The sequence below is a fragment of the Homo sapiens genome, chromosome 16 (genome assembly GCF_000001405.40).
Source record: "Homo sapiens chromosome 16, GRCh38.p14 Primary Assembly".
Lineage (NCBI taxonomy): Eukaryota > Metazoa > Chordata > Mammalia > Primates > Hominidae > Homo > Homo sapiens.
The window spans coordinates 29887388-29900105 of record NC_000016.10 but is presented as its reverse complement, the minus strand read 5'-3'; the positions used below and the strand labels follow the sequence as shown (position 1 = coordinate 29900105).

General features: G+C 53.3%; 1 protein-coding gene across 9 annotated transcripts in view, besides 1 other annotated feature; it reads left to right on the top strand.

Moving 5' to 3' along the window:
- Positions 364-658: an enhancer, noted in NCBI's record as "tiled region #6067; K562 Activating DNase unmatched - State 8:EnhW, and HepG2 Activating DNase unmatched - State 1:Tss". NCBI's record gives its function as "activates a minimal TATA promoter and a strong SV40 promoter by Sharpr-MPRA in K562 cells, with weak activation in HepG2 cells {active_cell/tissue: HepG2 | K562}" and the evidence as "EXISTENCE:reporter gene assay evidence [ECO:0000049][PMID:27701403]".
- Positions 556-12718, top strand: part of SEZ6L2 (seizure related 6 homolog like 2) — a 28392-nt gene continuing 16229 nt past the window's right edge. For 4 of the 9 annotated variants that reach the window (NM_001388365.1, NM_001388364.1, NM_201575.4 and 1 more), the window contains exons 1-7: positions 556-1165; positions 2122-2253; positions 2985-3284; positions 4246-4385; positions 4646-4847; positions 11381-11566; positions 12289-12457. In NM_001388365.1, the coding sequence (NP_001375294.1) occupies positions 1087-1165; positions 2122-2253; positions 2985-3284; positions 4246-4385; positions 4646-4847; positions 11381-11566; positions 12289-12457 (1208 nt within the window). In that variant the 5' untranslated portion in view covers positions 556-1086. The remainder of the gene's footprint in view (positions 1166-2121; positions 2254-2984; positions 3285-4245; positions 4386-4645; positions 4848-11380; positions 11567-12288; positions 12458-12718) is intronic. The other 5 variants (NM_001114099.3, NM_012410.4, NM_001388363.1 and 2 more) reach the window with 3 other exon arrangements.

Below are 12718 nucleotides of genomic sequence, written 5' to 3'. Positions count from 1 at the left end.
GAGCTGTCCGCGCGCCGCTGGTGCTGAAAAGGGCGCTCCGGAGGGAAAATCAGAGCCGAGGCCGCCTGTTAGCTGGCCGGGGTCAGGGTTTATGGAAGAGGAGGGGTCTGTCTCTCCTCCCCAAACCCCGGCCCGTCACCCACGAGACTTGTCACAATCGTGGAAGCTCTCTATTCCCCTGGAGGAGGGAGAGCCCATTCCACCCGAGCTACTGTAAAAGGGGAAGGGAAGCCCCTTGGGAGGTCTGAATGTGAACAGGGGGCATAATTGGGGGCCTAGCAGGCGCGAACCAAGCTATGCAGCCCCTCGGCACCCTGGGAAGAGGAGATTCAGATTCCAGATGTGCTGGAATGGCAGGCGGAGGGGGCTAATTACTGCTGGGACCAGAGAGTTTCCTTTGCCTCCCCTAGGGGCCGCGGGAGTGAGGATTACGGCCCTGGCTCGTATGATCCCTCCCTCCTCCATCTGCACTTCCTCCTCCTCCCTCCCCGTCAAATAAATCCCAGGCCCCTCCCTCCGCCCGTCCCCAGGATCTGACGTGGGCTCGATACCTTTCTCAGCTTCTCCCTCCCGCAGCTCCAGTGCCCGAGCTTCGGCTCTCCCAGTTCCCCAACCCACCCCTTCCCCTCCCCGACAAGCCCCGCTAGAGCCCAGTGGAGACCCCCTCGATCCTCGACCCCACCCTAAACCCCCAGAAGCTGTCTTTCTCCTCCCCAGTCCCCTAGCTTGGGGTCCAGACAGCCCAGTGGACCCAGGCGCCTGAGCAGGAGGGTAACCCAGGCCACCCGGCCCCTTCGGCCCTCTCGGCCCCACCCCCTGCAGCCGGAGCCGCGCCCCCTCCACCACAGAGCCGCGAGAAGAGGACAGAGGAGACTGAGCAAAGGGGGGTGGGCTCCAGGCGACCCCTAGCCCAATTCTGCCCCTCCATCCCAAGGGGCAGAGAAATTGTCTTTCTTTGCTGACTCCTACGAGGAAAAAAAAAAAAAAAAAAAAAACAATTAAAGGGAAAGATAAACGGAGACGGAGGAAAGGTGGCAGCCAGATTACTTAGAGAGGCACAGAGGAGAGAGATCGGGGTGAGTCGCCATGGGGACTCCCAGGGCCCAGCACCCGCCGCCTCCCCAGCTGCTGTTCCTAATTCTGCTGAGCTGTCCCTGGATCCAGGGTAAGGACATGAGACTGTGGGGGTGGGCCCCAGGAAGGCGTCCAGCGGGGTCCTCCACCCTCCTTTCTCTTAATATCCTGGGTCTTCCGAGCACATGGGGGAGGGGAGAGGCACAGCTGATGGGGAAGGGGCAAGCCAGAGCTTTCAGGCTTGAACCCGAAGCCCCTTAACCCTCAATATTGAGAAGGCAGAGAAATGAATGAGAGAAGCTTTTAGCAGTGTCTCAGGGGCTAGATCCAAGAAGGAGGGCTGGGAAAGTTGGGGGGATGTCTGCGGAGGCGGCAGAAGCATGGAGGGACCTGGGTGGGAGATGGAGGTGCTGAGAGAGATGCCAGGCGCTGTACACACAACTGTTCTTGGATGAATGGACAAAGACAGATGAGCAGAGGCAGGGCTCAAAGACCAGATTTTCAGTCCCCCACTCTGACCCCCAGCCAGACTCCAGGGAAGGAGGCAGAGACTGCAGAGGACCAGAGAGAGAGAGGGTGGGGGGGAGAGAGAGAGAGAGAGAGAGAGAAAAGACAGCCACACTGCAGAGACAGAAACCCAGAGAGAAAGCCAGGCACTGCGGAAGCAAGGGCTGGGAGGTGCGGCCAGATCCTCTGCAGAGCCCCAGGGTTGGGGGGAGATCACCACTGAGGTGAAAGGGAAGGCAGCACCGGCGACCCCTCTGCCTTGCTGGCGCTGTCCAGGGTCCATAAGAGCTAAGGTGTTCAATGAAGGCCCACACAGCCCAGGGAGAAGGGAGAGGGGAGGGGAGAGAAGAGGTGTGGGAGTGGGAGTATGAGGGCAGCTGGGAGCCCCTCCTCCGATCTTGGCCCTCAGTCGAGCCTGGGACCATCTGAGCCCCTGCAGGCCCAGCTGATGGAGGAGGGAGGAAGAGTTCTAGAAAATATCTCTCTGGAGAAGGAAGGGGTGTGGGGAAGTGGAGAAGCTCACACAACTTCACCTCCTAGGTCTGCCCCTGAAGGAGGAGGAGATATTGCCAGAGCCTGGAAGTGAGACCCCCACGGTGGCCTCTGAGGCCCTGGCTGAACTGCTTCATGGGGCCCTGCTGAGGAGGGGCCCAGAGATGGGCTACCTGCCAGGTGAGGCCCCCAGAGTGGCAGGAGTGGCCTAGAGGCAGAGGGAGGGATATGGGCTCAGGGAGATGGGGAGCCAGGCTAGAGAAGAGCAGGCAGAGAGAGACTGCAGAGGAAAGAGCCTGCATTCCTGTGAGATTCAGGGAACACAGAACGAGACTGTCAGAGAAAGTCAAACCTGGGCACAGACAGAACCAGAGAGACAGAGACAGAATGATTAGGTGACAGTCAGACAGAAAAACAGACACATAGAAACAGAGATGGAAATTCAGAGAACCAGACTCAGAGAAATGGTGGAAGACAGAGACAGAGAGAATGAAACACAAAAACTAGTGGATCTCGAATCATGAAATCAGAGTGCAATCAGAATACTAAACAGGGAAATGGGGAAATAAAGAGTTCGAGAGAGAATGAGACAGAGGAGAGAGGAGATAACCAGAGAGAGAACGTGATCTGAGTGAGGAGGCAGAGAGAGAGGCTCAGGGAGAGGAGTATCAGGGTGGAAGGGGCTGGGTGGAGAGAAGGGACCAGAAGAGAAAGAGGGGGGACTCAGGCTGTGGAAGCCTTGGGAGGAGGTAGGGGCTGGGGTGGGGAAGGGAAAGGTGGGGGGTGCTGTACCTTGTGCGGGAGGCTTTTGTGGTATGGCAGGGGAACCCCTAGCTTCCCTCAGCCCTGCTCCCCACCCAAGGTCCTCCATGTGCTCCTCCTGTGCTCTGATATTCCCTGCACTGTCCCAGGATCTGATCGGGACCCCACGCTAGCCACCCCTCCGGCCGGCCAGACTCTCGCAGTGCCCTCCCTGCCACGGGCCACTGAGCCGGGGACAGGGCCTCTGACAACAGCCGTCACCCCTAACGGGGTCAGGGGGGCAGGCCCCACTGCGCCAGAACTGCTGACCCCGCCCCCAGGAACCACAGCCCCACCCCCACCCAGCCCTGCCTCCCCAGGGCCTCCCCTTGGGCCTGAGGGAGGAGAGGAGGAGACGACGACCACCATCATCACCACGACAACTGTTACCACTACGGTGACCAGCCCAGGTGAGGCGACAGCAAGGGGATGGGGGTGGGAGGACCGGAGAGGTACACGCTGGGGATGGATGGGAGAGAGGCTGCTGGGAACTGTGGAAGGAGTCCTGGGTACAGATGGGAGAATAATAATAACAAAGGTAGCATTTCTGTACCCTTACTATGTACCAGGCAGTGTTCCAATTGTTTCAGCTATATAACAGTTGGGAAAGGGAGTTCTGGCTCAGGTGGGAGAGGGAGCATTGCTTAAAGATAGTGATGGACATGGTGGCTCTAGCCTGTAATCCCAGCACTTTGGGAGGCCAGGCGGGCAGATCACCTGAGGTCGGGAGTTCGAGACCAGCCTGAGCAACATGGAGAAACCCTGTCTCTACTAAAAATACAAAATTAGCCAGGCGTGGTGGCGCATGCCTGTAATCCCAGCTACTCAGAAGGCTGAGGCAGGAGAATTGCTTGAACCCGGGAGGTGGAGGTTGTGGTGAGCTGAGATCCAGCCATTGCACTCTAGCCTAGGCAACAAGAGCAAAACTCCATCTTAAAAAAATAAAAATAAAAAAATAAAAGATGGTGAGGGGGGCACAGCAGCGCACAGCTGTAATCCCAGTGATTTGGGAGGCCAAGGCAGGAGGATCGCTTGAGGCCAGGAGTTTGAGTCCAGCCTGGGAAATGTGGCAAGACCCCATTTCTACAAAAAGTTTTAAAAATTGTCTCACCATGGTGATGTGCACCTGTGGGCCCAGCTACTCGGGAGGCTGAGGAGGGAGGATCACTTGAGCCCAGGAATTTGAGACTGCAGTGAGCCATGATTGCACCACTGCACTCCAGCCTGGGTGACAGAGCGAGACCCTGTCTCAAACAAAACAAAAAGATGATGAGAAGTGCTAAGGAGAAGGGAGATGAAGGCCAGAGTTGCTTGGCTGGGAGGGCAAAAGCACAGGCATTCCTTCCATCCCAGCCATTTGTATCTCCTCAGTTCTGTGTAATAACAACATCTCCGAGGGCGAAGGGTATGTGGAGTCTCCAGATCTGGGGAGCCCCGTCAGCCGCACCCTGGGGCTCCTGGACTGCACTTACAGCATCCATGTCTACCCTGGCTACGGCATTGAGATCCAGGTAACTGGACCAAAGCATGTGACTGTGCAGCTTCCAAGCCTTTTCCTCTGGGCTGTGGGTGTGCACGGGTTTGGCCTGGGAGCCAAAGAACCTGTCTGATGACTCAGGTGACCTCAAAAACTCTTCTAGATTTCTACAACTTGGGCAGCAGCGTGGTGCCTTTTGGGCTGCTACACACAGGGCAAAGGCACAGGACAGGGGCTTTGGAAGTCAAACACCTGGCTGACTTGCCCTGGCGGGTCTGTGTCTGGCTTCTCTAGGTGCAGACGCTGAACCTGTCACAGGAAGAGGAGCTCCTGGTGCTGGCTGGTGGGGGATCCCCAGGCCTGGCCCCCCGACTCCTGGCCAACTCATCCATGCTTGGAGAAGGACAAGTCCTTCGGAGCCCAACCAACCGGCTGCTTCTGCACTTCCAGAGCCCACGGGTCCCAAGGGGCGGTGGCTTCAGGATCCACTATCAGGGTGAGGAGTTTGAGGGTGCTGCTGGAAGGGCAGGGGCCATACTGCATACACTGGACATCTTTTTTTTTTTTTTTTTTTTTGAGACAGAGTCTTGCTCTGTCGCCCAGACTGGAGGTCAGTGGCGTGATCTCAGCTCACTGCAAGCTCTGCCTCCCAGGTTCACGCCATTCTCCTGCCTCAGCCTCTCAAGTAGCTGGGACTACAGACGCCCGCCACCATGCCCAGCTAATTTTTTGTATTTTTAGTAGAGATGGGATTTCACCGCGTTAGCCAGGATGGTCTCGATCTCCTGACTTTGTGATCCACCTGCCTCAGCCTCCCAAAGTGCTGGGATTACAGGCAAGAGCCACTGTGCCCGGCCTATAGAGGGGACATCTTTAAGAACCATCGAAGCACAGGGTGCCGAAGGGGGCTTTTCCTCCTGACTGCGACCCTGGGGGGCAGGGCCCTCAGAGGAGACCCATGCATACTTATCTCACACACTCACAGATCTGTGCACACATCCGAGGGACAATTCATCCATTGAATCCAACAAATGTTTATCAAGTGCTTGCTTCATACCAGGCCCTGTGTTAGCCTTGAAGGAGGAATGAACAAACCAGGTGTAAATCTGGCTTCAACGAGCTCAGAATCTAGGTAGGAAGACAGATGAGTAATCAGGATGGTTATAATTCAAGGAGATAAGGAATATGATGGCAGAAACACCAGCGGGGGCAGCACATAGCCAAGGGACCTAAATTTCTCCCAAGGAATATGGGGACATCTTCTTGGAGGAGATGATGACTAAGCTGAGACCTGAAGGATAAATTCGCCAGGGAAAGGGTGGGAGGGAGGGAGAGAAGGAGGGAGGCAGATGGCTAAGTGGATGAAAAAGCACACTCCAAGACCCAGAGAGAGAAGACGTGACCCCCAGATGAGGTGAAGGAATTCAGCATGGAAGATAGAATTGTCCTAGCTGTGTGACCTGGGACAAGTTACTTAACTTTTCTGTGCCTCATGATCTCATCTGAAAAATAGGGATCACAATACTTAGTATTATGGGGAAGATCAAATGAATTAATACATGTCAAGTGTTTAAAACAGTGTGTGGCCTGGCGTGGTGGCTCACGCCTATAATCTCAGCACTTTGGGAGGCCAAGGCTGGTGGATCACCTGAGGTCAGGAGTTCAAGACCTGCCTGGCCAACATGGTGAAACCCCATCTCTACTAAAATTACAAAAATTAGCCAGGCATGGTGGCAAGCACCTGTAATCCCAGTTACTTGGGAGGCTGAGGCAAGAGAATTGTTTGAACCCAGGAGGCGGAGGTTGCATTGAGCTGAGATTGCGCCATTGTACTCCAGGCTAGGTGACAAAAGTGAAACTCTGTCTCAAAAACAAACAAACAAAAACACAAACAGCGTGTGGTACACAGTGAGAGCTCAAAACTGTCAGTCACTGCTATTACTTTCAAAGCACAGAAGCGGGTGAAGGGGAAATGGGCCAGAGACCAGGCTGGGAGGCAGGTCAGATTCAGACCATAAAGAGCCTTATCTGCTTCAGTAAGCAGTCCAGACTACTTCAACCTGCAGGTGTGACAGGCAGATATTTGAATTTTTTTTTTTTTTTTTTTGAGACAGAGTCTCACTTTGTTGCCCAGGCTGGAGTGCAGTGGTGATGACCTCAGCTCACTGCAACCTCTGCCTCCTAGCTTCAGATGATTCTCCTGTCTCAGCCTCCCCAGTATCTGGGATTACAGGCACCTGCCACTACGCCTGGCTAATTTTTGTATTTTTAGTAGAGATGGGGTTTCACCATGTTGGCCAGGCTGGTCTCGAACTCCTGACCTCAAGTGATCCACCCGCCTTGGCCTCCCAAAGTGCTGGGATTACAGGCATGAGCCACCACGCCAGGCCTCCTAATTTGAATTTTATTTATTTATTTATTTATTTATTTGAGATGGAGTTTTGCTCTTGTTGGCCAGGCTGGAATGCAATGGCGCAATCTTGGCTCACCGCAGCCTCTGCCTCCCGGGTTCAAGCGATTCTCCTGCCTCAGCCTCCTGAGTAGCTGGGATTACAAGCATGCCCCACCACTCCCGGCTAACTTTGTATTTTTAGTAGAGACGGGGTTTCTCCATGTTGGTCAGGCTGGTCTCGAACTCCCGACCTCAGGAAATCCTCCTGCCTTGACCTCCCAAAGTGCTGAGATTACAGGCGTGAGCCATGGTGCCTGGCCTGAAATGTTTTAAGCAGGAAAGTGAAAGCCTCAGATTTGCAATTTAAAGATCCTTCTGACTTCTGGGGGCAGGAAAGGGGGGCTGTATTCACGCACGACTGCATTTGTTAGGACCTATGACAGATGACCTGCACATGTGTGTACATCCATGCTTACCTGTGTGTGCGGGAACCTTCCCACAGTACAAGGGTGTGTTCTAGCAGACATGTGTGCATGAGGAAAGGGGCCCAGCCAGTGCCCTGTTCCAGACCCCACTGTCTTCCTATGCTTCATGGAGACAGAGAGAACTGTGTGTCGGGCCAATGCCCCCTTCACATCACCGCATGGCCTTGGCTGGTGTCACGCACTCTGCCCTCCTTGAAAGCTCTGCTGACCGCAGATGCCTTGTGTGCCTCATGCAGGGTACACCCTGAATCCTATTCTCATGTCCTCTCCAGCCTCTTTTGAGGCCTCTGCTCAGGACCTGCCTTAGGGGCTCATGTGTGCATAGCAAAGGTGCCTATTCATCGGGGGCCAGCAAGCTGGGGGACGTGTATTTGGCAGTAGGGACCTGGTTATTGGGGAGCAAGAGCATTCCTGGAGGGCCTGGGCCAAGTGCTGGATTTCAGATATTGTGAAATCTGAAGATATGGCTCCCCACTGGCTCCTTTAAGCAGCCACTTCCCCAGGGCACTGAAAATAGGACTCCTTAGGCTAAGTGGAACATTTGGGGAAGCAGGACTATTGCACAAATTGGCCTTCATTGCTCAGTCTTCCCTGCTTCGCAGCTGCACTGGGTACCTTTGGGACCAAGGCCCTGTTTCAGCCCTTCCCAACCTGCACTAGCTGGGGCCTCTGGTCCAGAGTGGCCTCATTAGTTTCTCTGAAAAGCCAAAGTCTCCTTCACCCCTCACCCCAAGTTCAGCAAACTTTCCCATTACAAAGCCCTTTCACCAACCTTAGTTTCATTTGCTTCTCACAGAAACCCTGAGAGTGGCCATTGTCAGTTCTATCTCTCAAAGGAAGGAAAAGACTCAAAGGTTATGTAGATTGCTCAACCATCTGCACGTTTATTGCAGCCAGACAACAGATCCCCGAGTCCCTGGCTCCCAGTCATTCATTAATTGAGGCTGAGGGGTGGGTGATTAACGTTTTCTCAGCAGCTTCTATGTGCCAGGTGCTTTGCGTGTTTCTTTTATTTAATTTTCAGGCCAATCTTCCCTGATAGGAATTATTATTGCCGTTAATAGGTGAGAGGCCCCTAGAGATGAAGTCACCTGCTCAAAGGCATGTAGTTAGTAAGTTCTGGAGCTAGAACTGGAACTCAGGTCTGCCTGATGACAAATCCAGTGGTCTTTGCACCGATCCATGCTGCCTCTTGGCTGCACCCATTGATCAGCCAGGCTAGCCCTTTTTTTTTTTTGAGACGGAGTCTCACTCTGCTGCCCAGGCTGGAGTGCAATGGCACAATCTCAGCTCCCTGCAACCTCCGCCCCCTTGGTTCAAGCGATTCTCCTGTCTCAGCCTCCTGAGTAGCTGGGATTATAGGCGTGTGCCACCATGCCCAGCTAATTTTTTGTATTTTTATTAGAGACAGGGTTTCACCATATTGGCCAGGCTGGTCTGGAACTCCTGACCTCATAGACTAGCCTTTTAGGACACAAAATAAATAAGGCTTGGGCCAGTGTAGACAGTGGTTAGGCCAGGTATGGTGGCTCACGCCTGTAATCCCAGCACTTTGGGAGGCCAAGGTAGGTGGATCACCTGAGGTCAGGAGTTCAAGACCAGCCTGGCCAACATAGTGAAACACTGTCTGTACTGAAAATACCAGCACAGTGGTTCACGCCTGTAATCACAGCACTTTGGGAGGCCGAGGCGGGCAGATCACGAGGTCAGGAGTTCGAGACCAGCCTGACCAACATGGTGAAACACCGTCTCTACTAAAAATACAGAAATTAGCTGGGCATGGTGGCACATGCCTGTAATCCCAGCTACTCAGGAGGCTGAGGCCGGAGAATTGCTTGAACCTGGGAGACGGAGGTTGCAGTGAGCCAAGATCGTGTCACTGCACTCCAGCCTGGGTGACAGAGCAATACTCCGTCTCAAAAAATAATAATAATAAAATAAATAATAATAAAAATACCAAAATTAGCCAGGAGTCGTGGCACACGCCTATAATCCCAGCTACTTGGGAGGCTGAGGGAGGAGAATTACTTGAACCCGGGAGGTAAAAGTTGCAATGAGCTGAGATCAAGCCACTGCACTCCAGACTGGGTGACAGAGTGAGACCCTCTCAAAAAAAAAAAAAAAAAAAAAAAAAGACAATGGTTAATGTGATGACAAAATCATGCATGCAGGACTGTGTACAGGTAAGAGAACAAGTAACTGTTGGAGAGATGTAGAGTCAGGAAGGCTTCCTGGAAGAGGTGGTACATAAGCCCCCCAGTCTGATCTCTTAAAAGATGAGAAAGTAGGGGGAGAGCACAAGCGAAAATATGGAGGTGGAAAATTAAGGAGTCACAAAACTGTGTTGTGTAGGCTATATCGGTCTTGGGAGATCAACCCTGAACCTGGAATGTGCTGGGCTGCATTTAACTATGGAAGGGGCTTGAATGTCAAACTAAAGCATTCAGACTTGATTCTGTTGGGCATGGGCAGCCATTCCCAAAGCTACCATTTATTGAAACCACTTTGTTCTAGAAGGTTGTTCTTATGTTCATCTCAGTAGACAATGGACTCCTGAGGACAAGGCCTGGGTCTTTTTCCTGACCTCAGGTGATCCGCCCGCCTCAGCCTCCCAAAGTGCCAGGATTACAGGCGTGAGCCACTGTGCCTTTAAAGACTATTTTGTCTTTAAAGATCTTAATACTCAGTGGCCTGTAAATGAATCCCCCAGTGAAAGTGAAGTCAGGAGGTCTGAAGAGATCAGGAGTTCGAGACCACCCTGGCCAACATGGTAAAATCCCATCTCTACTAAAAATACAAAAATTAGCTAGGCATGGTCGCACACACCTGTAATCCCAGCTACTTGGGAGGCTGAGGCAGGAGAACCGCTTGAACCCGGGAGACGGAGGTTGCAGTGAGCCGAGATTGCGCCAATGCACTCCAGCCTGGGCAACAGAGTGAGACTTCTCCTCAAAAACAAAAACAAAAACAAAAAGACAAAATAGTCAAATTTCCTCAACAAGTTTCATGTTTGCTTGAGGCCAGGAGTTCAAGACCAGCCTGGGCAACATACTGAGATGTCATCTCTACAAAAAATTTAAAAATTAGCGGGGCATGGTGGCACAAACCTGTAGTCCCAGCTACTTGGGAGGCTGGGTCAGGAGGATTGCTTGAGGCCAGGAGTTCAAGGTTCCAGTGAGCTATGATCACACCACTGCACTCCAGCCTGGGCAACACAGTGAGACCCTATCTCAAAAAAAAAAAAAAAAAAAAAAAAAAAAAAAGAAGTTTCAAGTGGTTCTTCTGGATGGAAGCTGAGGAGCTGAGGGTATACCACAGGGCACCTTGGTGGAAGAAAGGCTGTGTGTGTGGAGGGAAGAAAAATCAAAAGAGACATTTAATAACTTGGAGCCTCAGTGTTCACACCTGCAAAACAGGTCACATAATCTTTTTTTTTTTGAGACAGAGTTTTGCTCTTGTCGCCCAGGCTGGAGTGCAATGGGACGATCTCGGCTCACTGCAACCTCTGCCTCCTGGGTTCAAGTGATTCTCCTGCCTCAGCCTACCAAGTAGCTGGGATTACAGGCACCCACCACCACGCCTGGCTAATTTTCGTATTTTTTAGAGACGGGGTTTTACCATGTTGGCCAGGCTGGTCTCGAACTCCTGACTTCGTGATCCACCTGCCTCGGCCTCCAAAAGTGCTGGGATTACAGGCGTGAGCCAGCATGCCTAGCCAGGTCACATAATCTTTGTCTGCTGACCTCAAAATCTCTGTGTGGACTCACTTTGGGAGCTGAACAAGCTCTGCAAATACTGTTATTACAGCTGGATGAAGTTCAGAGTAGTTCATTGATTTGCCTGAAGTCACACAACAAATGAGTAGCGGGGTCCAGAATAACTTGTTTGAACCTCAGATACCTCATCTATAAAATGGGGGCCAACGAGGGTGAATTACAATGAGTGGGGGAGATAAGGGGTGTTGGAGTTTCCTGTTCGCGAGGCAAGGTGCCTGTGTGAGGAGCTCTTATTTCTCGGTATGTACGCCAGTATGGAGCCAGTGTGTGCCCCTGGAAGGTTGGCCTGAAAGGAGAGGGGGGAAGTGCTGGGGGATCAGTATGAGAGGGTGGCATGGGAAAGTGAGCCCTGCTACCCGCTGTCTGTCTGGTGCAGCCTACCTCCTGAGCTGTGGCTTCCCTCCCCGGCCGGCCCATGGGGACGTGAGTGTGACGGACCTGCACCCTGGGGGCACTGCCACCTTTCACTGTGATTCGGGCTACCAGCTGCAGGGAGAGGAGACCCTCATCTGCCTCAATGGCACCCGGCCATCCTGGAACGGTGAAACCCCCAGCTGCATGGGTGAGTCTCCTGCCACAGTGGGTGGGGCATCTGTTCTGGGAACCCCATTGGGAGGGTCCTATCTCGGGGGTGTCCAGGTGTCCACCTTTGGGGAAAACCCATTCTGAAGGGGTGTTTACCCTGAGGAGTCCCCATCCTGGGGTCTGCAGCCAGAGCTCTTTGTGCGGAGGGTCTCTCTCCTTGGGGTTTCTCCATCCTTGGGTGGTCTCCATCTCGGGGTGTCCCACTGGAGATTTTATTTTGGGAGTCACCATTCTGGAGGTCCCTTCTGGGGTAGCGTCCTCATCCTAGAGGAAGCCATTTTTAGGGTTCATGTCCAGAGGGCTTCTATCCTAGAGAGCCTCTTACTGGGATTCCCATCCCGTGGTGTCTTCACTCTGAAAGTCCTGTCCTGAAGATTTCCCAGCTGAGGCTTTGAATTTTAGGGATCCTTGTAACTCCCCATCCTAGAGTATCCGCAGTTGGAGAGTCTTCATTTTAGTGGTGTCTCCATCCTAGGAGGTGTCAATCCTGGGGTTCTCCCGTACCGGGGCTGGTTTCTTTCCTGGCTCATGCCTGGAGAAGGTCCCATCCTCTGGAGTGACTCCATGGGACAGAGGCCAGCCCTGGGCCGGGTCCCAGCCAAATGTGTGAATGCAACAGTTCTGAAAACGGGCCGAGGCCCCGAGGAGAAGGACAGTTCACCTCAGGCTGGCCTTAACGTACCCCTCCTCTGCCCACAGCATCCTGTGGTGGCACCATCCACAATGCCACCCTGGGCCGCATCGTGTCCCCAGAGCCTGGGGGAGCCGTAGGGCCCAACCTCACCTGCCGTTGGGTCATTGAAGCAGCTGAGGGGCGCCGGCTGCACCTGCACTTTGAAAGGGTCTCGCTGGATGAGGACAATGACCGGTAAGGGTCTGGGTCTTGGGTCAGAAGTCCCCACCTTGGCCGGGCATGGTGGCTCATGCCTGTAATCCCAGTACTTTGGGAGGCCGAAGCAGGCGGATCACAAGGTCAGGAGATCGAGTCCATCCTGGCTAACACGGTGAAACCCCATCTCTACTAAAAATACAAAAAAAAAAAAAAAAAATTAGCCGGGCATGGTGGTGGGCACCTGTAGTCCCAGCTACTCGGGAGGCTGAGGCAGGAGAATGGCGTGAACCCGGGAGG